This window comes from Homo sapiens, chromosome 3, assembly GCF_000001405.40.
Source record: "Homo sapiens chromosome 3, GRCh38.p14 Primary Assembly".
Lineage (NCBI taxonomy): Eukaryota > Metazoa > Chordata > Mammalia > Primates > Hominidae > Homo > Homo sapiens.
In genome coordinates, this window is record NC_000003.12 from 123,635,839 (window position 1) to 123,661,517 (window position 25,679).

General features: G+C 48.3%; 1 protein-coding gene and 1 long non-coding RNA gene across 21 annotated transcripts in view, besides 4 other annotated features; one reads left to right on the forward strand and one right to left on the reverse strand.

The window, feature by feature from the left end:
- MYLK (myosin light chain kinase) overlaps positions 1-25,679 on the reverse strand; it is a 274,284-nt gene that overhangs the window by 25,790 nt on the left and 222,815 nt on the right. For 16 of the 20 annotated variants that reach the window (XM_047448184.1, XM_024453532.2, NM_001321309.2 and 13 more), the window contains 6 exons: positions 21,288-21,590; positions 13,324-13,356; positions 13,133-13,226; positions 11,386-11,589; positions 4,449-4,666; positions 2,233-2,356 (listed from right to left, as the gene is read on the reverse strand). In XM_047448184.1, the coding sequence (XP_047304140.1) occupies positions 2,233-2,356; positions 4,449-4,666; positions 11,386-11,589; positions 13,133-13,226; positions 13,324-13,356; positions 21,288-21,590 (976 nt within the window). The remainder of the gene's footprint in view (positions 1-2,232; positions 2,357-4,448; positions 4,667-11,385; positions 11,590-13,132; positions 13,227-13,323; positions 13,357-21,287; positions 21,591-25,679) is intronic. The other 4 variants (XM_047448186.1, XM_047448182.1, XM_011512861.4 and 1 more) reach the window with 1 other exon arrangement.
- Positions 109-770: an enhancer, noted in NCBI's record as "H3K4me1 hESC enhancer chr3:123354794-123355455 (GRCh37/hg19 assembly coordinates)". NCBI's record gives its function as "activates a minimal SCP1, AML or CMV promoter by ChIP-STARR-seq in primed H9 embryonic stem cells {active_cell/tissue: H9 hESC(primed)}" and the evidence as "EXISTENCE:reporter gene assay evidence [ECO:0000049][PMID:30033119]".
- On the forward strand, positions 13,223-25,661 carry LOC124909421 (uncharacterized). Its single transcript, XR_007096038.1, has 2 exons — positions 13,223-14,287; positions 23,031-25,661. It is a non-coding gene; the product is annotated as an uncharacterized LOC124909421 (long non-coding RNA).
- Positions 13,744-14,245: an enhancer, noted in NCBI's record as "H3K4me1 hESC enhancer chr3:123368429-123368930 (GRCh37/hg19 assembly coordinates)". NCBI's record gives its function as "activates a minimal SCP1, AML or CMV promoter by ChIP-STARR-seq in primed H9 embryonic stem cells {active_cell/tissue: H9 hESC(primed)}" and the evidence as "EXISTENCE:reporter gene assay evidence [ECO:0000049][PMID:30033119]".
- Positions 14,246-14,745: an enhancer, noted in NCBI's record as "H3K4me1 hESC enhancer chr3:123368931-123369430 (GRCh37/hg19 assembly coordinates)". NCBI's record gives its function as "activates a minimal SCP1, AML or CMV promoter by ChIP-STARR-seq in primed H9 embryonic stem cells {active_cell/tissue: H9 hESC(primed)}" and the evidence as "EXISTENCE:reporter gene assay evidence [ECO:0000049][PMID:30033119]".
- Positions 17,874-18,374: an enhancer, noted in NCBI's record as "H3K4me1 hESC enhancer chr3:123372559-123373059 (GRCh37/hg19 assembly coordinates)". NCBI's record gives its function as "activates a minimal SCP1, AML or CMV promoter by ChIP-STARR-seq in primed H9 embryonic stem cells {active_cell/tissue: H9 hESC(primed)}" and the evidence as "EXISTENCE:reporter gene assay evidence [ECO:0000049][PMID:30033119]".

Sequence of the window (25,679 nt, forward strand, 5' to 3'; positions counted from 1 at the left end):
AAGCCTATCAAAGCAGAACGGATAAATTAACTGGATTATATTCACACAATGGGATACTACATAACACTGAGAATAAACAGTCTACAATGACACATAGTACTATGAATGAGTCTCACAAACGATGTCAAGCAAAAAAAGCCAGACACTTCTTTCTGTATGATTTCATTGACATTAGCCTTGAGGGTAATGGTGACCTCTGGGGGTTGGTAACAGGGAGGGGTGCCAGAGGGCTGTGGGGGCCTGGCAGTGCTTGGTTTCTTGATCCGGGTAGAGGTTACACAGGTGAAAACTTAGTGAGCAGTCTAGTCACTGCTCTGTCACTGACCAGTAGAGAGACCAATTGTCCTGGTTTGCCTGGGACTGTTCCCATGTTAGCACCAAAAGTCCTGTATCCTGGCAGACTGGGACGACTGGTCCCCTGGCCCGACTGTGGGAAGTGGGCAGCCACGTGGGCTTCCTTGGCCCCTGTCACCTCAACGCCACATGAAGATGGAATCCCTGCCATGATCCACTCTTGGGTTTGTTGTGAGCATCAAACAAGGTCCTATGTGAAAATCTGTAGCTGCAGAAGATCCTGATGCCACGGCAGTGGGAAAACCCACTGAAGAATAAACAGTAAGGCAAGTCTCCATGACGGCTGGAGGGGGACCCTGGGACCAAGCGAGACCACAGCGCAGCTGGGGCTGAACAGTGAGAGCTGACCAAGGACTGCTTCTCAAGGGTCTGGTGTTTTTCCCAGGGCCAGAGGTTAGCACTGCCCAGGCCTGGGGCCGCCCTGAAAGGGGCAGGCTGGCCCCGCCCCCTACCCTGCTGTTCCTTACTTATCTAGGGAGCCAGGGAGTCAAGCTCCAGTCCAGCTGCTGTCTTCACTTGTCAGCGCCCCTTCTCCAAGAGGGGGCGGGGCAGGGAAACAGGCAGGGAAATGCACACCTGGCCCGGGGTTTTTCTGCTGATCTGGGGAAGGCTGTGGTGGTGGGGCTAATCCCAGGCAGGAAAGAGGATAACTGTCTGGACTACAATGCCTGTGGTGCAGGTTCCACTGAGGGGACTGTCCTAACAGGCTATAGTGAGTAAAGTTCCTGAGCATGTGAAAAAGTCACATTGCACAAAATTCACACCACTTCTGCTAAAGCTTTTATAACACTGGTTTCTAAACCTGGCTATGCATCAGAATCGCCCAGAACCTTCTCTCACACTGGAGTCTGAAGGCCCCAGGGGTCTAAGAAAGTATTCATAGAGGTCTTCCTCATTTTCTATGAAAATGTTAAATTTTTCCTTTTGTTCTGACAGTAAAAACATTATTGAATGAAAGCATACACATCTGCATCTTTGGGGACACCATCCCATAACTGCATGTGGCCACACAGGTTCAGGGGCTAATGACCGTCCGCACCCTGGGGCTTCAGGGACTAAAGCAGCCAGACCCCACCGACAGAGTGTTCTCAAGCCTTGTTACTCAGAGCGCAGTCGTTGAACCAGCACATTCACAAACCTAGAGCCTGTTAGAAATGTGGCATTCCAGGTCACCCAGACCTGAACAAAAACCCTGCAATGTAAGGAGCCGCCTAGGTGAGTCAGGCATGCTAATGTTTGTGAAGTGCCGGCCTAGATGGCTGGCCTCCCCTCTCCTGCATTATTGTTCATTGAAATGGCTTTGGATTTCCCACCTGATTTTTCAGTTCTAATTACTGTGTTACTTTCTTTTATCTGTTAGTCCCATTGAAGGCTCGATCATCAATAGTGTTTATTAATTCATCCATATACTAGACTCAAAGATGAGGCTAGTAGTTGGGGTCCCCGTGCCTTGGGGATGGAGTGCTATGCCCTGAAGACAATGAGGATGCCCAGAGATTCGCCCCTGGCCTCCTGCCCTCCTTCTTTGTGGACCCACACAAGTGAGGTTTTATTACTTGGTGCCAGCCACATTTCCCACCCTCCTGACCAAAGGCCCCAGGCTGGCCAGCCTTGGGGACAGTGAGCACCCAGAATGGGGATCTTAGCATGTGTAGCTACATGATGCTATAGAATATGCATGCTACTGACTCCCTGGGAGCCCAGGAGCAGGGTGGGCTGCCAGGGATAGGAGGGGAGCCTGCCACCCTCCTGACTCTGGGGGGGGCTCCCCATCATGACAATGGCAGGGCAGCCTGGGGACCCTCCTGTGGAACCCTCAGCCCCCACCCACTGGTCCACCAAGTGGTCCACCAGTCCACCAAGTGCCCCAGGACTCACAGGATGTAGCAGATGACCCCGATGCTCCACATGTCTGTGGCGTAGCCGATGGGCTCATAGTTGATCACTTCAGGAGCCACAAATTCTGGGGTGCCAAAGAGGACCTTCAGAGACCCCGCATTCTCTGAAACCAGGATGGAGAGGGATAAATTGCCAGCACATCACGGAGCCAGCTTGAGACCAGCAGCTGCCCGAATCTGTGTGTTGACCCCAACCTGGGAGGGGCCAGACACAGGCTTTGGCACAGAGAACAGGCACAGAGACATCTGACCTCCTTGTTAAACAGGTGCGTCAACACACCAGTGAAACCAACAAACCTCACACTCACCTCAAATGTCCTGTGCAGGGTGGGCAGGGGGAGAAGAGGCCGCTAAATCACCCGCCCCTGAATGGTCTTTTTGTGAGTCTGTCTCATGAGTTAGTTCCCCTAGGCAGGGACTGTGACTTATGCTTAATAATAATCTCTAGCATTCACTATGTCCTATGTACCCCACCGGCAGCTTTACAAGGGTTCTCACCCACCCCAAGGGGTAGGTATAATGCCCGTGCTACTGAGAACATGAGTGAGGCCCAGGGAAGTGCAGTGATTTCCCCACCCGGTTAACAAGTGGTGGTCGGGACTCAAGCCCAGGTAGTCCAACTCCTGAGCCATGCTTACCACCGTTCCTCCCTCCTGCCTCTCCTACTCCTCACACAGCTTCATGGCTGTCCTTCAGGAGCTACTGGTAGGGTAGTCGGGAGAGGCTTCAACCCCAGGGTGGTACCTCTTGGCCATAAAGGACCAGAGATGTCTGTTAATATGTGCAAAAGGCAGGTACCTGTGGGCTATGCCTGGTCTTGCTTAACTTCGCAGAGCTCACAGCAAATGTTCTAAAACAAAGCATTTAACAGCCCTCAGATGTGAAAGCTCTGCTCCAATTCCTGCCTCTCAGCCCTTTCTGCTACATTTTAGCCACTTCTCAGTTATCTGGTCCTTGGTGGACACGGTTGTTCCCACAGTATCCCTCACCAGTGGAAGCTGGACATTGTGTTCCCTGGGCTCTGACACTGCCGACTCCTGAGGACAGTGGCCTATTTGTTTAATTTATTGGTGGTCACTGTTCAAAGGCAGGCCCTGTATGCCAGCCACTGCCCCTACCCTGTCCTCTTAGCAGGAGTGAGCAGAGCAGAGCAGGCACATGCGCCCAGCGCCGAGGCATGTTTCTCACCTGACTGCGCTGACCACCAGACCGGTCATAGTCTATCGGAACCTCGCCCCTGCTTACCCCTTTCCTCTTTATGACCAACACAGCCTCAGCCAGCACTGAACATCGTGGGAGACATTTATTGGGTGGCATTCATTTGGCCCCTCCTTTCTACTACCTGCAGGGTGGTGAAATAAAGCCAGCTCACCCCAGCCCTCGGGCTCCTTGCTAGCAGGGCAGTGGCTAAGAAGGGAGGATGAAGCTGTTTCCTCAATCACCGGGACATCAAAGGGCTGCAGAGGCAGGCTGGATGCAGGCAGAATGTGAGCCAGGCAGGCATCTACCAAAGTGCTTTCAGGGCGGCCTTGAGACCCTGACCGCCTACCCCTGTGACCTCTCTCCTGGCTAGCATAAGAATCAGAGGTGCTGCAGAGCACCCTGAGCAAGGTCTGGGGTCCTTGTTCCAATCCCAGCACATCCCCTGGCTCACAGTGGGACCTCCTGGGCAAAGCTATTGTGAACCTTTGTTTCCTAGTCTACAAGTTGGGGCTCATAAAATCTACCCTGCTCACCTCATGGTGAGAATCATAGGGTTTATTTTTTATGTGAAAGTGCTCTAGAAACTGTACAGTATGATGCAGATGTGCAGAGCCACCATCACCAAAATGACTTTTGCTGCTAATGGCACCAGAGTGAAAAACAAAAGGGGATAATCATCATCATATATACAGCTAACACCTAAGCAGTCTTACTATGTGCAAAGCACTCTTCCCATCCCTTTACCTATATTAACACATTTGATCCTCCTAACAAATCTGTGAGTTAGGTCCTACTATGATCCCACTTTTCTGATGGGGAATTTGAGGCTTACTGTCACGTCTAGTATGTGGTAGGGGCAGGATTCAAACCTGGGAAGTCTTCATGGTCTCGGATTTAACCCCAATACTGTATGTTTCCTCTCACACTCAGTGTGAGAGGAAACGGCCAGTGCAATACACACTGGTGTCCATGGGAGAGGCAGATGAGCCTTACCCAGCCTCCTGGCCAGACCAAAGTCGATGAGCTTGATCCTGGTGCCCGTCTTGTTGACACACATGATGTTCTCCGGCTTGAGGTCCAGGTGCACGATGCCCTGCTTGTGGATGTACTCCACTCCCTCCGAGATCTGCCGCATGTACTTGATGCACTCACGCTCCGTCAGCTCAAAGTCCTCGTCAATGATGCGCTCAAACAGCTCCCCTCCTGACACGCTGCGGGAACACGTGCACGGGGTGGTCAGGCCACAGGCTCATGGAGGCCAGGCTGGCAGGGAGTCTGGCCAGGGTAGGCTGGGGGTAGGAGAAATTGGCAGGAAAGCCCAGGGAATGGGGGTGATGGGCAATTCCTGAATCCCCACCCTCCGACATGGGAGAAGGGTCAGGGCCTCCTGGTTTCCCATCAGGGAACCCTGCCCTGCACCTTCTAAGCTGCTGGGGACTCAGGGAAGCATCTACACTAGGCAGTTTCAGAGGTGGGTGTGAACACAGAGATCCAGACATGATCTTCTTAGCAAAAAGAGTGACCTCTAAACAGTCTCTTTCCCTCAAATGACCACACATGCCTAAGGGAACATTCTTGTACTCTAGCCGTGTCTTTTAGTCACAGGGAACTCAAGTTCAAAATACTCACAGTTCCCACAAGCATTTGTTCTGCATAGCCAGGAACGGAAAAATATCTTCAATCATCAATAATGAGCCTCAGCAAATTTTCTAAAATTAGTTGGCTGTAACTCATTATACCTACAGCTGTGACAGATTTGCTTACTCTGGCCAGGCCTATAGTATTGGTTTACTCCCTGCAGTCATAATTAACTGGTCTCCCTTGGACCCCTTCCTTACCCCAGCTGTGTAATCCTTTCTAACTGGATAGGCTTTGGATCCTGGCTATTTCTAGTGAACTTTGCTTCTGCAGCCACAGGCATGCATCCTCTGCTAGGGACTGCCCCGGGGTCTCAGCCATCAGCATATTGCCCTTCAGTGCAAATGCATGGCCCCACCGCCTGAGTTGCATGAGTCCTCTCTGTTCCCCTGTCCTAGCCCTCTGACCCACCTTTCTTGGTCTCTGCTTAGCAAGTTTAAAGCATCTCTCTGGTAACTTATGCAGCACCCAGATATCAGTAAGCTTGCTTTTCTTTTTTTCTTCTTCAATTTTTTTTTTTTGGTAGAGACAAGGAGTTCAAAGTTATGTTGAGCTATGATCACACAACTGCACTCAAGCCTGGGTGACAGAGCAAGACCCTGTCTCAAAAGTGAAAGAAAGGAAAGGAAGGAGGAGGGGAGGGGAGCCCAAGCTGGTCTGGAACTCCTGGTCTCCAGCGATTATCCCACCTCAGCCTCCCAAAGTGCTGGGATTACAGGCATAAGCCATCATGCCTGGCCTATAACCAACCAACCTACCTATCTTCCTTCCTTCCTTCCTTCCGTCCTTCCTTCTGTCCTGCCTGCCTTCCTCCCTCCGTCCCTCTCTTCCCTCCCTCCCTCTCTTCCCTCCCTCCCTTCCTCCCTTCCCTCCCTTGCCTCCCTCCTTTCCTCCTTCTCCCCTCCCCTCCCCTCCTCCTTCCTTTCCTTTCTTTCGCTTTTGAGACAGGGTCTTGCTCTGTCTTCCAGGCTTGAATGCAGTTCTGTGATCATAGTTCAACATAACTTTGAACTCCTGGGCTCAAGCGATCCTCTTGCCTCAGCCTCCCAAGTAGCTAGGACTACAGGTATGTGCCACCGCACCTGGCTAATTTTTTTAATGTTTTGTAGAGACAGGGTCTCTCTCTGTCACCCAGTCATAAGCTCATGTTTCTGCAGTGGCCTGTAGGTCCACCAGTTGAACAAGGCCGGGTGGGTTCTGGGCCTGTCCTCTTGCAAGGGTATTTCCTCTCCTACAGAGAGTCCTCACGAAGAGGAAAGGAGCTGAGTTTGAATCCTGCTTCTGCCTTTTATGAGCTGTGTGACATTGGGCAAGTTGCTTAACCTTTCTGAGTCCCAGTTTCCTTATCTATCCCTGCCTCATAGAGTTTTTAGGAATGTAGGAGGCTTTGTAAAGTATCATGCCTAACACACAGAAGGTGCTCAACACTTATTACTTATCGTTTGATAAGCTGTGGTGGGCTAGGTGGATCTTGTCACTGACCCCTGCAGGAGAGAGACAGGGATGCACTGTGGGGCCCAGCATACCACAGCCTCTGCCACGTGACACACACACTCACTTCTGGAAGGGCTGAACTGGAGAAGGTCAGTCTGTGCCAGTGACAGCTGGAGGGAGCTAGAACTCATACTTTAAAACCCATCTGAGAAGAAGGTCCCCAAATGGCCTGCAGGTGGCGCTCTTGTCCTTATGCCCTCCATTTCTATTGCTCTCTGCCAAGGCTCCAAGACAAACTCTCATCTACAAGTATTCTTAGGTCTCAGCCAGTTATTAACATCTCTGTGCTTCATTTTCCTCATCTGTAAGATGCAGATTAAAAACAGCCTCACCTCACAGGGTGGCTTCAAAGACTAAATGAGTCAACACAGGTAAAGTGCTTGGAAGTGTCTGGCACACAGTCAATGCTCAATATTAATGATCAATTTTCTATGTAAAGAATCACTTGGGGCTCTTATTAAAAATACAAATTCCCAAGCTCCTCCTCTGGAGATTTTGATTTAGAAAGTCTTGGGAGAGATCTGAGGATCTATATTTGTAATAATTACTCCAGGTCATCCTTATGATCAGACAAGTTTGAGAAATACTGGCTTACTCAACTACCACTCCTGGGAGGCCAGCTGAAATTCACGCCCTCTGAAAAAGTCACTCCCCATTTCTTCACATGGAATGATCTTTCCCTCACTGGGCATCCATGGCCTTATGTCCATAGCCTTGTCTCTGCACTTTCCATGGCCTTATGTCCATGGCCTCGTCTCCGCACTTTGTGTATCAAGTTGGCTTTGCCTTGAAGTTCTGAACACATCACAGGTGGCAGGCTCATCTCTAGACCCTTATTTGCCTCCGACTATATTTGGCACAGACAAGGTGCTCCAAAATGTTTACATTTAAATTTTAAATATTCTGAAAAAGCAAGCAACCATTGTTTTCAATGCCCTTGGGAATGTCTGAGGCAGTGAGTGGTGGGAATCTGAGCCATGGAGATAATTCCTGCTGCATTTCTGGAGGAAACCTATTCAATATAAATTCAAATAGGTTCAATCCTATTCAGATATACTTATTATATTTTGAAAACTGTTCCTATGGTTCAACTTTCTAAGATGGAAGGGGTTAAAGAGGCAGGATTAATGGTTCTGTGGGTTTATCTTCAAAATACTTAATGCTATGGGTGGAAAATATTGGTTTGATAGACAGAAACTGCCACCCACAGTAATGGGATAATGCCAAGGGCCAAGATTAGGCTTAAATTAATGGTGAGTGAGTGAATGACTAAATAAATAAGTGATCCCTATCCTAAGGAATCAGATTCATCCCCCAAACCCTAGACCTTGGCTAGCTCTCATAGGAAGCAAGAAGGAATGGTGCTATCACTGGACTCGAGACCCTCCGCTCCTTGCCCTATGGCAGCCAGCTGGAACGTTCTTTGATAAATTTTGCTAATAGTAGCACAAACATGAGATGAGCCATGGATGACACAGCTTAAACTTCACATTGTCTTCAATGCTCAGGGTCCCACAACCACCTGGAATGTCCCAAGCACTTCCAAAAGGACAAGCCCAAGTAGGCCAGGGGCCTGAAGGAACTGCTGTGTCAGACCAACTACTATATGGTGGGGGCTCATCCAGTAATCAGAAGTCAGAAAGGATGAAGACACATTCATTACTATTTCCCACTAGATCTGAAGCAACTGGACTTAAGGCAGGGACCCTGGAATACATTTCCATTATTCTATCCCCAGGCATCATCCTTCTTTTAATCTCAGTTTCTCCATCCAACAAGGTTAGCACATTGCACTGGTGAAAATCATTCTTTCCCTTCTCAGTGGTCAAGTCTTAGAGTGTTTAAGCTGGAAGGGATGTATAGATGGAGTATGAACCTGTTCCCTTCTTCTTTGGTTGACTGAGTTCTTACCAAGTTCCTACTCTTGGCGACCTGGCCAAGGTCCCAAGTGCAGGCAAATTTTCTGGTATCTGGGCATGGAAGACCTGCTGCTGTCCACAGGGGAGGCATGGGGTGGAGGGATGAAAGCCAGACTAGCTGAAGCTTTCTTACATTTTCTCTTTGCTTTTTCCATCCAGCTTGCCAACTCCCAATTCCAAGCTAAGTATGGTATTCTGCCCACTGGTGCTGCTGCCTAGCCTTCCCCAGGCCCTGTGACTCCTGCCCTCCCTGCACCCTCTCAACTTGCTCAAGGTTTAACTTCTAAAGATAAGACATTTCTCCACATGTCCTCACATGCCCACACCGCCTGGACTAAGCAACCTGTTCTAGAATAAATGTGAAAAGATGCAGCCCACGGGGCTATTGTGAGGGTGTAAAGAATGAGGTCACAGATGTGGGCTACGTATTTCCTGAAAATGGGGAGGAACATTTGAATTTGGGGCTGAATGTAGATTGTAAGATACGAATGGAAATTCTTCACCGCGTCTTTTATGGTTCCATGAAATAGTAGAATTTTATAACCAAAAGGGGCATCTTGAGATTGACTGTTCTAATCCAAGTACTTCTTCGTGCTGATAGGATTTGACAATTGCAAAATCATGACTCAATAGTAGCAGAAACTGAAGCCAGGCTTCCTGAATACTAGGGAGGATTTGTTCCACAACACCTTGTTGGAAGTTAAATGCTCAAAAAGTATTTTTAAGTGGAAAAAAACCAGGATACAAAAAAAGTCAATGTATCATACTACTAACAATAACTCCCCATTATAGAGCACTGTGCCCTATATGCATTATTGCATTGAATCCCACAGCGTTCATGAGGTGGGTGTCGTATCTACATTTATGGATAATAAAACTAGGGATTGGTACAATAGAATAACTTACTCAAGGTCAAATAACAAGTTAGAAGCAGAGCTGGGATTTGAAGTAAGGTTCATCTGACTCAAGCCTACACTCGGAACTACTATTGCCTTTCCTAAGGAACACATACGGAAAGGAAATACTTGTGTGCCAGAATGTTAATGGCATGAGGGGAGAGAAAAGACTAATATTCCACTCATATCTACAGCTTGGGGATGTCTTACTGGACTCAACTTTCCTGGGAGAGAATTCCAAGATGCTAACAGAGCCCTCACCAAAGGACAGAGACCCCCCAAGTTCAGGATGAGCATTTCAAGGATGTTGAAAGCAATTTCACAATATCTCTAAAGATTTCAAATGTGCATACCCTTTAACCCAGCTCTCCTTCACTTCTGGGAGTTTATCCTATAGATATTCACAGGCATGAGTGAAAAGATGTGTGTACAAGGTTACAAACGATGCTTGTTTGTAAAAGCAAAAGGCTGGAAACCACTCAATCTCTATCAAAAGAAGGCTGCTTAAATGAATTGTGATTTTCTATACAACAAAACCCCACAGAGCTGTGAGAATGAGGAAGCTCACTAGGTAGTGAGATGGGACTAACTCCCATAGCAATTTGCTGAAAAAGCAAAGTAGGTTGGGTGCGGTGGCTCACGCCTGTAATCCCAGCACTTTGGGAGGCTGAGGCAGATGGATCGCTTGAGCCCAGGAGTTCGAGACCAGCCTGGGCAACATGGTGAAATCCTATCTGTACAAAAATACAAAAATTAGCTGGGTGAGGTGGCGTGAGCCTGTGGTGAGGTGGGAGGATCGCTTGAACCTGGGAGGCGGAGGTTGCAATAAGCCGAGATGGCACCACTGCCCTCCAGCCTCGGCGACAGAGTGAGACTCTGTCTCAAACAACAACAACAACAAACAAACCAAACTAAAAAAGCAAAGTATATGACAGTGAGTATAAGAAGTTACTTTTTGTGTTAAAAGGCAAGAAAATAAGAATATATATATGTGTGTGTGTGTCTGTATACACTTATATTTTCATAAAGAAACTTTGGAAGGATACAGATAAAAGCCAATAAAATTGTTTGTGTTGGTGATGGTTGTAGTGTTTAGGAAAGGATAGACAGGAATAATGGTGGAAATTAGACTTTTCACTGTGTATTTCCTAATATTTTTTGAGGTGATTGTAGCATATATTCTAAAAATTCAGATAAAAAAGGAAACTGTTAAGAATGCAGATGCTGTGGGGGATGCCTGGCTTGCTGATGCCAGTGTGCATGCTTGACTGTATGTGTGTGTGTGTGCATGTGTGTGTGTGCGTGTGTACACGCATGCACCAACAGCTCAGAGGTAAGGGAGGTGGAGGATTCAGGTGCAGAAGAAACAATGAATTCTGCGAAAGGCTTGGCTGGAGGTCATCTGATAATCCCCCTGCCTTTGTACAACCCCATAGGGAAAGCACCACTCTTTAGTGAGTGAGAAGTCCAAAGAGTACAAACAAGAGTAGACCAGGGGCATGTGGAGACACAGGATGGGACTGAGGACCAGAGAGAGGCTTCCATCCTGGATTTCAAGCCCCCAGCCAGGGGCCCCCTTATCTTTCACAGGGAAGTCAGGAAGCTGCCCTGTCCCTCCCCTAAACCACCTTCAGGTGTGAATGCCCCAAATGAAACCAAGGAGCCTAGGGATAGCTTTGGCCCTTTCATGGGGAGATGAGGGCGAGAAAGACACCAGGGTCCTCAAAGATCTACTGGTTTGTTTTGGAAATAAGCACAAGGCTGCAGCTGGGCTGGTGCTCAGAGGCTCAGGGCCAGCACTGTGCACAGACCTTCGGTTCTGTTTGGTCAGGCCTGGCTGTATGGCTGGTGAGCATCTTACATATCACACTCCTGTCTGCAGTGCTTTCCATCTTGGGGCAGAGGTGGCTGGGGTAGGGCAGTAGGGGAGACACGTTTGGGGGCTCCCTGTGGTGCCCACGCTGCTGGCAGTGGGCCACTCACATCTCCAGGACCATGACGATGTTGGCCTTTTCTTCAAAGGCATCCACACACTGGACCAGCTTAGGGTGGTGGAGGCAGTTCATGATGCTAATCTCCTGCCGGATATTCTCTTTCTCTTTTGCTGAATATGCCTTGAAGAACTTCCCTGCCCAGACTTTTCGAGTTTTCTTTTCTACAAGTCGAAAGACCTGTCCAAATTTCCCACTGCAAATGAAAGGGGGAGGAGAGAAAAGCCACATTTAGCCAAGCTTTCCGCTAACTTGGGGTTGGCAAATTATGGCCCATGGGACAGATCTGGCCCACCTCCTTTTATAAGTAAGGTGTTACTGGAGCACAGCCCTGCCTGGCTGTTTGCATGTTGTCTATGGCAGCTTTTGTGCTACAGTGGCAGAGCTAAAGGCATATCGCCCATAAAATCTAAGATATCAGCCTTTATGAAAGGCCCAGACTCCTGCTCTAGAGCAATGAGGCACATTTGTTTTTTCTTATCTTTAAACATTTTTTTTTTTTTAGAGATGGGGTCTCGCTATGTTGCCCAGGCTGGTCTTGAACTCCTGGCCTCAAGCAATCCTCCCACCTCGGCCTCCCAAAGTGCTGAGATTACAAGCGTGAGCCACCACACCTGGCCTTTGAAGCACATTTCTAATGTTGACAAGCCTACTGTCAACTTTGGCTGATGGCATCTCTTCCCCTCCCTGCAGTGGAACCCATGAAGATGGGTGGAGACAGCCCTTCCCAAATGCAGAGTATTACTGAGCAGTTGCCTTCCTTCCTTCCACTCCCTACCACTGACCCCCTGGTGATGGCCCAGGCAGGGTCCTGCTTCCTACTGCTGAGAGAGGGGAGAGTGGGGCTCCTCTGTGATGGCACTGACTTCTTTCTGACACTGTTACCCAGTTTGCATCACTCCTTCATTTCCCAGAAACCACTGGAAATACAAGTGGAGTCCCACTCCTTTCTCTCCCACCTCTTCTATTCCTCCAGGGACAGCGTAAGGGCAGATGAACAGCTTGGCTCAGGGTTGGGGTCTGAGCCCACTCTATCCTCCATGCCCTAGGGAGAAGCCAGAGTAAGCAGTGCGAGCCAAGTTCATGAGGGAGCTTGATGACTGCTGCGCGTTTAATGGAGCACTAACGCAGGCATTGCTTTACAGTGAGCACTGATCAGGCTACACTGACTTCTGTGGATCAAATGGAAGGGGTGCCAAAGATAATCTGATCCAGTCCTCTCATTTTATTTTATTTTAAAAATTATTTTATTTTATTGTTTTTAAGTTCCAGGGTACATGTGCAGGATGTGTACGTTACGTAGGTAAACGTGTGCCATGGTGGTTTGCTGCACCTAACACCCCACCATCTAGGTATTAAGCTCAGCATGCATTAGCTCTTCTCCCTAATGTTCTGCTCCCCGCACCCCCTGCTCTCCCCTGACAGGCCCCAGTGAGTGTTATTCCCCTCCCTGTGTCTCATTTTGGTCCTGGGCTCTGAACAGAGGCACAGAAAAGGAAGGACTTGCCCACAGCCTTTGCAGAGTTGGGGCAGTGTAGGACCGCATGGGCAACTCTGCAGAGAGTCCTGGGTGAGTGAGTGATGCTTTCGTGGGTCAGTCCTTTGGATCCTGCAGGACTCTCAGTCTGGGGAGGAGGCAGGCCCCAGGGAGCAACAGGAAGCTGAGGCACTGAATCTAACTGTGAGACCCGCACCACCCTCACCCTGGGAGCCCAGAGGCAACTTCCCACTCCACTTACGATCCTAATCTCTCCTCAATGTCGTAGAAGTCAGATACTTTTTGTTCAGTATTGATTGTCACTGTCCGGTAATCAACCTCGGGCTCCTTCTCATCTGTGGGGCACAGGTCAGGGTTGGTGTGAGTCTCAGATGCCCCCACTCAGCCCCCTCCACCCCAAGAGCCTGACCCGAAGACAGGGGCTGCACTCACCATCATCTGACACCTCCACTTCATCCTTCGGCTCTGGGGGGGGCACAAGGAAGGACAGAGAGGACACAGGTGATTAGTACTGAAGGCCCACTGAGAGCAAGATGTGCTGGGGGCCCTGCCAGGCCTCAGCCTCCCCAGGCAGACGACTACCAGGTCCAGAGCTCTGGGCATCCCCTGGGGCTGGTCAGTCCATATAGCAAATAGGGCCCAGTGCAGACTGGCAGGTGCCAGCCTCCTCCCTCCACTCAGCTCCACTTCTCCACCAGGTCTCCCCTCTGTCCCATCCTCTCTAGCCTCATGGTCCCCAGATATACCCTTCTCCACATCTCATCCAACCCTTTCTGACTTTCAGAACCTACACACAACTGTGACAGTCTCTTTCTGCCCTGGCTCAAAAGTCAGCAACTTATAACTGCTTCTAGTGTCAAATCCATGTAGCCATTCATTGAACATTGTTGACGGCATCCCAGCACTGGACCAAGCATCTTGAATGCCAGTTATTGTGGGCATTCAAAACATATTACACAGAAGGCATGGTCTCTCCTTTCTTATAGCTTATAATTTAGTTCAAGAGGCAAAAACATATATACTTGAAGTAACAATTTACAAAGTGTACCATAATCACGCACATATCACCATGGTTCAAAGTGAATACACAACAGAGGAGGGTGACACAAAATGGTGCAATTGTAAGTGAGAGCAATTATTCTTAGAAGAAATAGCCTTTGAGTTGCGTCTTACAGGAAATGATGGAATACAATGAAGGCGTGAGTGATGTCACACAAATGAAACCAATAGGTATTTGTGAGGCAGGGCAGGGAGGGACACAGTCATGCCAGCTGCTCCCATGGCCGTGTCAGGAGTGAACAGGGTCCGGGGAACAGGAGGGGTTCCCCGGAACAGGGGGGCATCCAGCACAGCACGCCCACTTCAGAGCTCCAGGCCTTCCTTTGCCTCGATACAGGTTTGTTTGTTGACAATCGAGCCACTCTGGCTTCCTGACCTTGGCTGATTGCCTTTCCCTTCCTGGGCCTTGGTTTCCCCATCTGTAAGAGGAAGGGTTGCACCTGATGTCTCTGGCCCTGGCTAGCTCTGGATGCCACGCTTCGTCATGTGCTGTGTGTTCCTCAGCCATCGTCTGGGCTGCGTCCTGGCTGACAGCTGGACAATGAATGGGAGGTTTCCCAAGGAAGCAAAACAAAGACAGGAGAGAAAGCATAGAGGGAGGAAAAGGATTTTTAAAGTGTGAGTGTGTGTGTATGTGTGTGTGTGTGAGAGAGAGTGGGCATATGAGTGTGAGTGCGGGTGTACCGGTGTGAGTGTGAGTGTGAGTGTGTTTAGAGTTCTTAAAATGCTGCTGACAAAGCTTAGTTTTTTTAAAAAAAGACTAAAACTAAACATGAATGGGATTGGAAAGTATATTTTATCACAGAAAGGAAGCTGCCATGGAAAAATAAAAAAGGATGAGATAGACAGGGACACCCAGATAGTCTAGCTGAAGTATCAGAGGTGGGTTTCACGGTTACTGTCGGGATGTGGGCCTAACTGGTCAATATTCCTAAATCCACATGTTGGAGAGTTAAGAGTGGCATTGTCCAATTCACAGGTGGAAAGGATGACCTGAGAGCAATGCAACTAGAAGCCAGGAATGGAGTTAGTGTTCAGGAGAATCTGATCATTCTACCTTTTAGGGTGGTGAACCCTAAAGTCCATAGTTAATACCCAAGACAGAAACAGCAGCTCCTCAATCTACTGCTTGGGCTGTCAGATGCTGTCACAGGGCAAAGTGTGCATGGGCCCCAAACAGGGGTGAGTACTGGGTAGCTGTTGAGAGCGCCCTGGGTGCCTGCCCTGGAGCTCTGGCTGTCGGCAGTCCAAAAGCCACAATGGAGCTGGAGGTGGCAAGCAAGACCACTGAAGGGAAGGGCTATGTCTTAATCAGAAAAGGTGAGGCCTCTGAGGTTGGGAAAGAAGTCTAAAATGGACATGACTTTAAAGAGAATCACACAATCGCCAAGGATGAGATGAGAGTTTCAGACTTTTCATCAACTCATGACTACTGCATCTTGGGGGAACCATTTAGTGTTCTACCTCACGTAGGAGGAAGGCTGGAGGGATATGGAACTCACACATGAGAAGTACCACTAGAATAATAAGTATGTTCAATAGACATTTAGGTTAGTTCAGTGATGATATTATAAACAGGGTTTTAAGAGAAGCAACAATATTGGAGTCAATGAGTGATGGGACACCAGGTGGACCAGTCACTGGACTAGGTCTTCGACACAGAATCATCCTATTTACTGTCAGGGAGGCCCCTGTCTTGACCTGTGGTGCTGCTGCCTGATATAGTGGTTCACCAGTTGAGTCATCCTTTATTTCTTGTTCCTGTGCCACATTTTCCCGGCGTGGCATGGAGACCAGTGTATTCCAAGCAGCAGAGTGAGAGGGAAAGGAGAGGGCAGCTTTCCTGGCCTGGTGTCAGGAGAAGCAGTCTTGCCAATGGCCCGGCAGCAGGAGGCTTTCCCTGCGTGCCTTGAAGGGGGCATCCAGTCCTAGAGCTGGCCCCTGCCTGTCACTGTGAGTCCAGGTAGACAGCCACAGGGCCAGCCTCTGGCCTCACTCATGAGCCCACATCCATGCCTCACCTTCGCCTCTCACCCCAGAGGTCTGTGGCAGATCTGATTCTCATGCTAATGCTCTGGGGGAAGGACCTAGATCATTCTCAAGGAATTCCAGCCCCTCTTTCTAGTGCACTGTGTTCCTTTATGCTGCAGGAAACTCGGATCAAGAGTCCGGACTAAGCAGGGAGCAGTGGCAAGTGCCTGTAGTCCCAGCTATTCGGGAGGCTGAGGCGGGAGGAATGCTTGCGTCTAGGAGTTCAAATCCAGCCTGTGCAACAGAGTGAGACCCGATCTCTTTAAAAAAGAGAAAGATTCCAGGCTGCTACATCCCCTTCTGCTTTTCCCTTCTTGTCCTGCCTCTCTTCTATTTGACCACAAGGGGAGGAGTGAGAGAGAAGTAGAGGAAAGACCACAGTTCAATTAGCAGAGCTCTTGGTGCATAAAGGGTTGTTGAGAAAGGTGAACTGGTTTCCATCTTTCCACTAGGGAAGGGTCTTCCACTGAACTTAAAAAAAAAAAAAATCTGTTCAGAATGAGCTATGAGATCCATGAGCTAAGTGGAAGGCTATTTGGAAGATGGTTCTGAGATATTTCTGCAAACAGATGAGAGTCTCGTTACCCTGGAGTGTTTGGGAGAGGATCAGCTGAGTGCTCAGGACCCTCACATGGCACAAGTCCAGTCAGTCCCCTGGACAGAGAATTGTCCCTTCCTGCAGCCAAGGACTGTTGCACACCCAGAGAACACTAGAGGGCACCCCCGCCCCGGAGACGGCCTCTGAGGCCAGGGCGTAGCTGCAGCCTGGGATGGGAGCGGTACAGGCTTTATATCTCGAACTGTCCTGGGGGTTGCAAGGAGGCTCCAGTTCTGCAAGAAGCCTCAGTCACAGTAGCTGTTTTGCTAACAATTATACAGACTAGAACAAATTAGGGTAAGGAGCAGGGATGGAGTGGATTTGAGTGACAGCAGGATTTGAGGAGGAGTACAGTTCAAGACCTGGCTGGGCTGGGAGGGAGCGGGGCTGTGGTAAGGTTCTGGCTCTGTGCACTTGGGTTTGGGAGTACATTGTCAGTTCAGGGACCCTAGTCTTAGGAGTGGCTCTGGCATAGAGAAGCCACTGGAGCTCCACGGGGAACCCATGCTTTGTCCCCCAGTGTATCCCCAGTGCCCATGGCAGTGCCTAGAACACAGGAGGGGCACAGAACACATGGTGAGTGGATGTGGGATGAGGGCTAGGGTACCAACAGGGATGCAAATGAGGCATGAGAATGAAGTAGAAGAGCGAGAGGCAGGAGTGGCAGTGGCTGTGGTGGTAGTGGTGAAGGTCAGAGCCAACATTAGCCGGGCTTCATGGAGTGTGGGTTAATCAGCACTGCCTTTTTAATATGATCCCACCCCATCTGCTCCACAGAAATGACCTACAATGACCTGTCACTTGATCCCACCTCTCTGCCAACACACACACACACACGTGCGTGAACACACACGCCACTTCCCTGAGAGCCATTTCCCTCTTCAGCAGAGGGATGGCCTATGAAGCTTTATAACTAACAAGCATCTGAGCAGACCGTGGAGGACTTTTGCCTGGAATCCCCTCAACCAGAGTCCTCTGCCCTGAGGCCTAACACTTGCCAACTGTTCTGCCCTCTTCCTCCTCCCCCTTGGTAATCCAGCCAGCCTCAGCTGGGGAGTAGCTTCCTGTCTGGAAGCCCTGGGTGGACTGGACTCCTCCTCTGGATTTCAAGTGATTTCAACATTGCCCTTTGTCTATTCCCAGCTGGGAGGGGTGGCAGCAGGGGAGGGGAGTCTGAAGGCCCAGAGAGGGTTCAGCGGGCTGATGGCAGGGAACAAGGGAGAGGCCACTTGCCCCAGACAGGCAGTCACAGCTCTTCCTCCTGGCAGAGTCTCCACACAGCCCTGGGAGCAGCTGTCCTAGACCCCTGGGGGCCACACCTTGTAGCTCCCGTGGCCTCTGGTCCTGCTGCCTGGGGTTAGTCGGGGATTCTCCAGTCTCTCCCTCTTTACACCATAGCACAGACCTGGATGATTTCCTTTCCAGCCAATGAACATCTTCACACTGCAATCTTACTCCTTTTCCTGTCACTTTTCCAAGTAACATCCTAACACCACAGACTGGAACTTGATTGCCCCCCTGGGACCCACACTCTATGCAGCCCCCACTCTGCTCATTTCAGAGGGATGTTGTGTGTGTGTGTGTGTGTGTGTGTGTGTGTGTGTGTGTGTGTAAGAAGACAGTGATGGCAGTTTTGTTACTCAGTGTCCCCTGACAGACATTTGGGAGTGGCTAGTGGTTGGGATCCCTGCGAAAGCTGTCCCAGGAGCAGGCATCACGTCTCCGTGACTTGCACCATAGCTCTCAAGGAGACCTGCTCTATGCATATTGACATGGCTCAACGGGTAAAGGCCGCCTGACACACAGCTGCTAGCATAAAATTGTAAAGTTGGTATGTTTCCCATTGGTACCCTAACTTTCTTTCTTTCTGGAGCCCTTGTTTAATTGAAAGTAAAATTTTAATACCTATTTTGTACCTAATTTTCAATTTTTTTTTCAAAACTAAACAGGGTCATTGAATCAGATGACAGTTTCCATACTCACGATGGCTCTAGCTCCCTGGTGATGCCAGGCCTGCTCGCTTTCTCGCTTTCTGAGCTTTGCTCAGGTTCACTATTTGCCTCACTTGATTTCTAATTCCTTGTAATTAGAAGAAGTCAAATACATTCTCACCTACTGATCAGTTTTGGTTTTCAAGTGACATTCTGCATGTGGAGCTCAGTCTCCTTTGATACTTGAGTCTTCTACCATCTGCCTCACAACTCTACATTCTCCTGTCTCCAAGAGCTCTCTTCCCTTGATGTCCCTCCACCTTCTCCTAACCCCCAACTTTTTCTTATCCTATATTCTTTAATTCTTTTTTTTTTTTTTTTTTTTTGAGACGGAGTCTCACTGTGTCACCCAGGCTGGAGTTCAGTGGTGCAATCTTGGCTCACTACAACCTCTGCCTCCTGGGTTCAAGCGATCCTCCTGCCTCAACCTCCTGAGTAGCTGGGACCACAGGCGCATGCCACCATGCCCAGCTAATTTTTTGTACTTTTAGTAGAGATGGGGTTTTGCCATGTTGCCCAGGCTACTCTTGAACTCCTGAGCTCAGGCGATCCACCCGCTTCAGCCTCCCAAATTGCTGGGATTACAGGTGTGAGCCACCACGCCCGGCCTCTTATCCTAAATTTACAATGTCCTTTTCCTGTTCTTCACATAAAACTTCTTGAAATAATATTCCATGCTTCTGGCCTCTCTTTCTTCCATTTATTCCTTAACCAGGGCAACCATCTTTTCACTCAGTGGAAACTCTACAGACTTGGATCACAAAGATCACTACCAACCAAAGGACTAAATCCAAAGACCCTCTGAGTCCTCATCTCCTTCATTTTTATTTAGCATTGGATGCAGTTTATGAAGCCCTCTTTGCACCTTCTCCCTCCCCTGTTTCTTTGAGACTCCAGCCTCCTCTTGGTTCTCTCCCCTCTCAGTCCTTTCTCCTGGTACTGCAAGTTCCTTCTTTATGGTGTTGGTATTGACTTTCTCTACCACACTCTCTGTAACCTTATCAATGCCCATGGTTGCAATTATTAATTAAATAGTGAAGACTTCCAAGCCTGCCACACTAGCTTAAACCTTTCTCCTGGGCTCTAGACCCAACAGTCTTAGGATACCTTCCCTCGGCTAGCCCTTAGATGCCTCAACTCAGCAGGGCTGAAACCGCAGCTCCCCTCTCCTCCCAGACTGTTATGTAACCTCCAAGTTACTCAAGTCAGGAACCTGGAAGACAGCCTGACCTCTTCCCTCAGTCTAACCAAAGGAGCACAAGCTTCAGGCCAGACAGCTCTGAGTTCAAGCATCAGTTCACCAATTACAAGCTCTGTGACTTTGGGCAAGTAGCTTCTCCCCTCTAAATCTCATTTCTCCTATCTGTAAAATGAGGGTAATAACAGTATCTGCTTCATTGGGCTATTGGGATTGGATGAAATGATGCATATAAAGTGATTAACACATCGTAAGCTTAGAGTAAGTGCTCAATACATGTTAGCCATGGTGAATTATAACAATAAACCTCTAGCTGGCTCTTGAATTTGTGTTCAGTTACCCCAGCCAGGAACTGTAAGTCATCTTAGAATCTTCCAGTTCTCTTCCTCAACTCACTATGCAAAAAGTCATCAAGTATGGTCACTTCTACCTCCTGAGGCTTGAAGTTCGTGCCCTTTCCATCCCTCCCCTGGACTGTCATCCCAGAGGCCCATCTGATATGGCTGACTGCAGTCTCATCTCCTCTGACCCACCCACCACTCCAGTGCTTCTCAAATGTTCGTGTGCATCTGAATCCCCAAGGAGTGGATCATTTTCAGTCAAGGCCCAGAAGGGCCTGGGGGAGTCTGCTTGCTAAGAAGCTCCCAGGATGCCAAGGCTGCTGGTCCACAACTGCACTGTGAATAGCAAATCCCTGCTTTTTCCCTAGTTCTCTGAAAACCAGCTCTAATCGTCTCGATCCCCTGCCTGAGAATCTTTGATGAACTTCACAACTTTACCTAAAATGCCCTTTTAGTCTTACTTCCTCCTGTTCTGTCTCACACAACATATGCCTTGGCCACACACGAGCATCTGAAAATGTCACACACTGCCATGGCTTTGTAACCTTTGCTCATGCTGTTTCCTCTTGTAGAGTGCCTTTCCTTATCTTCCCTGCCTTTTAGAATCCTATCCCTTTTTCCAAGACTCAGACTAAGTGTCACCTTCTCCAGAAAGCCTTCCTTGGTCTCCATGGAAAAATGCTCCATGCATTTTGTTATGTCCCCTTGGTTCTTTTTTTACCCAGCTATAATAGGATGCATCCCTTCTCATTATAGTTAGCCATACACACCTCTCTTCCTCTAGATTTTAAGCTCCATGTCTTATCTTTGTGTTCCAAGAATCTGACACCAAGTAGACACTCAAATATGGATACAAGAGGAGAAGAGAAGGGGTGGAGGGTGGAAGAGGAACATGAGGCCGCTTGAACTCCTATGCTCCTGAGTAACATACCATCACCCCCTGGTGGCAGCATGCCAAAATTGCTGGTTCAATGTTTTTTGAAATGTCCTAAGTATTAATACTTTTTTTGAAGAATGGCTCAACATCACTGTCTTGGAAACCAAGACCCCAAAAGACCCTGCCAGTCATCATTAATGTTTCCTCAGTTCCTTTTCACCCCTTTCAGTACAGTCTTTACATACACAAGGTCAGTCACGCACATTTGTTTCAAGCCACTGATGAAGTGATGGCAGCCTACCTTCAGGTTTCTCTCCTACCGTTGTGAGTTCAGACTCCTGGCTTGGCTCACTGGTTCCATACACGTTGATTGCACGTACACGGAACTTATATTCGTGGTCAGGCAGCAGGTCCTGGACGTTGAAAGAGGTGCTGCGGCATGTGGCTAGTTCCTTCCACGTCTTGTTGGCTGAGTCCCAGATCTCGATGCTGTAGGACTGTACAGCACTGCCCCCATCATATGAGGAGCCATACCAGGACAGGGTCAGTGAGGAGCTCCGAATGTCAGAGGCACAAGGTGTGCCAGCTGGGGGGTCTGGCTTATCTGGGGATAAAGAAGCACAACATCACCCACACTTTCCAGAATTGCAGGCAAAGGAAGTTTTTGAATTACCTGTGTCATGGGGGGAAGGCAGCCTAGAGAACCCAATCCAAAGTCCCTGGTCCTGCGTCTCTTTCCCTCATCCGCACATCACAGTTAGAGCTATGTACAAACCCACCTGTACGGAAAGCCCCATGTATAATTATTTGCTCCAAAAAAGGCCCCCTCGCTTTTTTTTGCTAGTTTTCCAGTCTACATGCAAGTCACGATTTCCTGTACTTTGCCCAAGTCATAAACATATTTGTCAGAGTAAACAGATCTAGGAAGCTGCCCAGAAGGCGTGGACTATTTCCTATCGAAAACATGTTTTGAGAGAGAGAGTTCAGCATGAGTGTGTGTGTCTGTCCTTCAGGCCCTTGGCCAATGACCTGTGACATAACTAGGGGTCTGCCTCCACTTTCTCTGGGTCTTGAGAAATGCCTGCCCCACCAAGGGGTGGTATAGCACAGTGTTTGTGCTCTGAAGTCAGACAGATTCAAGTTTGAACACAGATCTGTCCCCACACAGTAGCTGTTAATTGCCCTGAGCCTCAGTTTCCTCATCTGTAAAATGTGAATAACAACAGCACTTGTATCACAGGTGGTTGTAAGAAATTCTTAGAAGAGTGGCTGGCTTGACTAGTCATTACTATCAAGATTATTGTAGGAGTTTATTTCTAACTTTATATACTTAAAAATTACTCCTACCCTACCTCTTTTATTCTCAGAGGGCTGTTGAGATATAAATAATTTCAAAAGCAAACCACAATAGCAAATCACAGCCATCCCTGACTAATGGACAGAAAATGAGCTGAGGACACAAATAAGAAGTGGCCCTTTTGGCTGGCTGCCTTCTCATTCAGATGACCTGGCCTCAGAACTAGCAGTACTGCCAACTTCAAGTCAAATCATGGTAGCCAATACTTTAATGAGGCTCTTGAGTTTTGCTGATTTTATTAGTTGCTTATCTGAGCAAAACTCTCCTATTTTTCAGATTTAGTTTTTGCAGATGGTTGGTTAGTTACAGATATCTGTGTTGTGTTCATTAACCCTTCATCTCCCCCAATGCTGTTTGATTTCATGAAGCCTCACAAACTAGCAATTGAAACCATGCTTTTAAGCTATGTCAACCCCAGCAAATTTGAAACTGGTTTGTTTGCCTGGCTTTCTCATTCAGAGAATGGTGCTAATATGTTCCTACCTCTTAGGGTTTTTGCAAGCATCAAGTAAGCAAACATAGATAAAGTACTTGACCGCTACTCTCCCACCTCCAGCAAGGCAGGAAGGCCAAAGGCAATGGCTGCAAATGACCCTGTGTATATGGAGAAGAAAAATCTGCATGTATATACATGTGTATATGAGTATATATACTCATACTCATATTCATTCTTGTCCCCTCTCCCAGCCCTGCCGATCCACATTCCAGCCCAGAATGCACTGCCCAGAAACTGTCTACCCCAATAACCAAAGCCCTGGGAATGATTCTGGGATTGTGACAGAGCCACTTCCCAGTGCTGGCAGTCATGCCAGAGGCCTCCTGTGATGGAAGCACTTTCACTGGCTGTTTAATATGTTCTCTTAGAAAAACTGTTTGTTCTGAGAGATATATTGGCCTTTTTTGAAACATTTCTGGTTTTGGCTAAGATGTTTATTACTCTAAACTCTCTTAAAGACAAGTGGTTCAAGTCCTCTCAAGACCCAGCTAAGGAAGTAAAAAAACCTGAAGAGGGATGGAAGACAGACCCACTATTCCTCCCAGAGAAGACTGCCTGGAGACCATGTGATTGGCCACAGTTGGAGTTGTGTGGGCTTATAAACGAATGCACTCTGCCAACTGATCTTCCTTCTGCTTTGGTCAAGAAAAGAAAACTGAGAAATGGGTGTTGCAGAAGAGGTGCCATTTGTACCCTACCCTGTTACACATGTCTCTTGGCTGAAAATGAGAACCTATACATGACATATGTGATACGTAAGACTTGTCACACAAGAGAAGATGCAAAATTTGGGGCGAGGGACTTTAATTCCAAGTAAAACTCCAACATTTTTAAGGAATTTGCTACCAAATTAAGGAGTTCAGAAAAGACCCAAGTCAGAAGTCCTAGGAGATTGGAGGCCTCCCACTCCTCCACCTGCCTTTAGAGCTGTGGGCTGCACCTAATGCTTTCTGTTCTTTCTAAGCTATGAGCCCCATGCAGTGGCTGAACTAGTAAAGGGATGAAAACTCTCAGAAAAGAACAGATGTCCTTAGAACAGGGAGCTCCTGTGAGCTTGTCCTCCACGGCGACACACTCAGACTGGGAGGGAGACCCTGGGCATCTCTGGGCAAAGGAGACTCCACATTTCCTCTGAATTCTCCCAGGGCTCCCTGGAGGCTTGACTAACAGAATAGGAAACTCAGCTCAGTCTAAGACAAGAGTCTCCAGTGGCACCAGCTCCAGGATTTTCTCCTCAGCAAATGTTCTAATTTCCAGGAAAATGGAGGATCCTGTCCTACAGCTTCCCACTAGAGTAACTGCTCTTGAGGTCTCTTGGTCCTCGCTTATTTGAAGATGACCAGTGGCTATGCCTAGCCCCACCTGGATGTCCCTTCCCTGGGACTTCAGCAGCTGCTGGAAGGGCCCCCACATGTCATCTACCTGGATAATCCTAGCCCTTGGGAAATGGGTCCTCAGCAGCTAAGGCATTTTGCTTATCAAGAAAACCCAGTAGTCAGTGGCAGAGCCAAAAGGAGATTCCAAAAAGCCTCTGGACCCTCGCTCCAGGGCTCAAGACTTTCCAGGCTATCAGGCAGAATGAGCTCAAGAAGGCATCTTGCTTAAGCCTGAGCTGAGCATTAAGATGGGAAATCATGCAAGCTCCAAACTCAGTTAGTATTTGGGGATTATTGGGTATTTGGGGTTCTCTCTACTTTGTTTTTCTCCTTTAAAGATATGAAAAGAGACCTGCTTTTCTCGTGCTGGGTGAGTGACCTTAAGGAATCCATCTGGGTATGCTGCTCACTGTCCCCTCCCTTATTCCCCACAGGCCAAGACCAGGGGCGCATGTGCAGGAAGAGGCTCTGAGCATTGCAAATTCCTGGGCTGCCTTTTAAAATATAATAATAATAAGTCTCCAAAATAGCTAAATATCACTCATTTAAGCTAACAGAGGGAAAGGCTAGTTTTTATTATTGTTTGAAAAATAGGAGCCAGAGAGGATCTGAAAAGAAAGTGGCCCTTTAAAGAATATACAATAAGAGAAGTTTGCTGCTAACAAGGAGGAGTTGTATTAAACTGGCCTTATTTAGCTGGTCTGTAAATGCATGAAAACTGTCCGGAGCAGACCAAGTGATTCCTGTTTTACCTCATGTACATTTTACATCTGCTTAATAAACCCTGATCAGGGAATACAGAGATGTCCCTGAAGATGCACAGGTAAATCTGAGCTTCATCCAGGTTTACTTTGAACTAATTCTAAGTGTACAGGCTCTGAATGAATGTGGCTTTGCTGTATCCATCAATGTGAGTCCTATTTTATTGAGCAATTCTATTCTTAGTTCTTTGAGGGGGAGGCAGACAGAAAGCCTCGGTTCTCCTCCATTCCATTCCCCTCCCAGGACGGCATTTAACATGCTGCTCCTGCCAGCTGGCAGACAGCCACGCCAATGGCCCTGTCAGCACTGGCTGCAGAGAATAAGAAACTAAACCATAAAAGGCCAGAACTGCAGCCCGCGTAGTGGTGATCGGAGGAGGGGAGTGCGTGGCACTGCGCAGGAGCTGGGCATCGTGGGGGCTGGGGGGAGGGAGAGCTTTTCTGTAGAAAAGCAGTTCAAAGAAGCTGACCCCAAAGTTGCTTAAGGAGGAGCAGATGAGAGAGAACATCAAAGAAAAGTTTAAACTGATGCTTGCTGATAGGACGGGAGTACAGGGCCAAATCAGTGCTTCAGAACAGATCTAAATGTACCAGTAAAGTGGATCACTAGCACCAAGCCTCCACAGGTTCCTGACTCCTTGGGAGGAAATTATTCAAATAAACACCTGGAGTCACCAAAAAGAGACAGAGTGAGAAAAGGGTT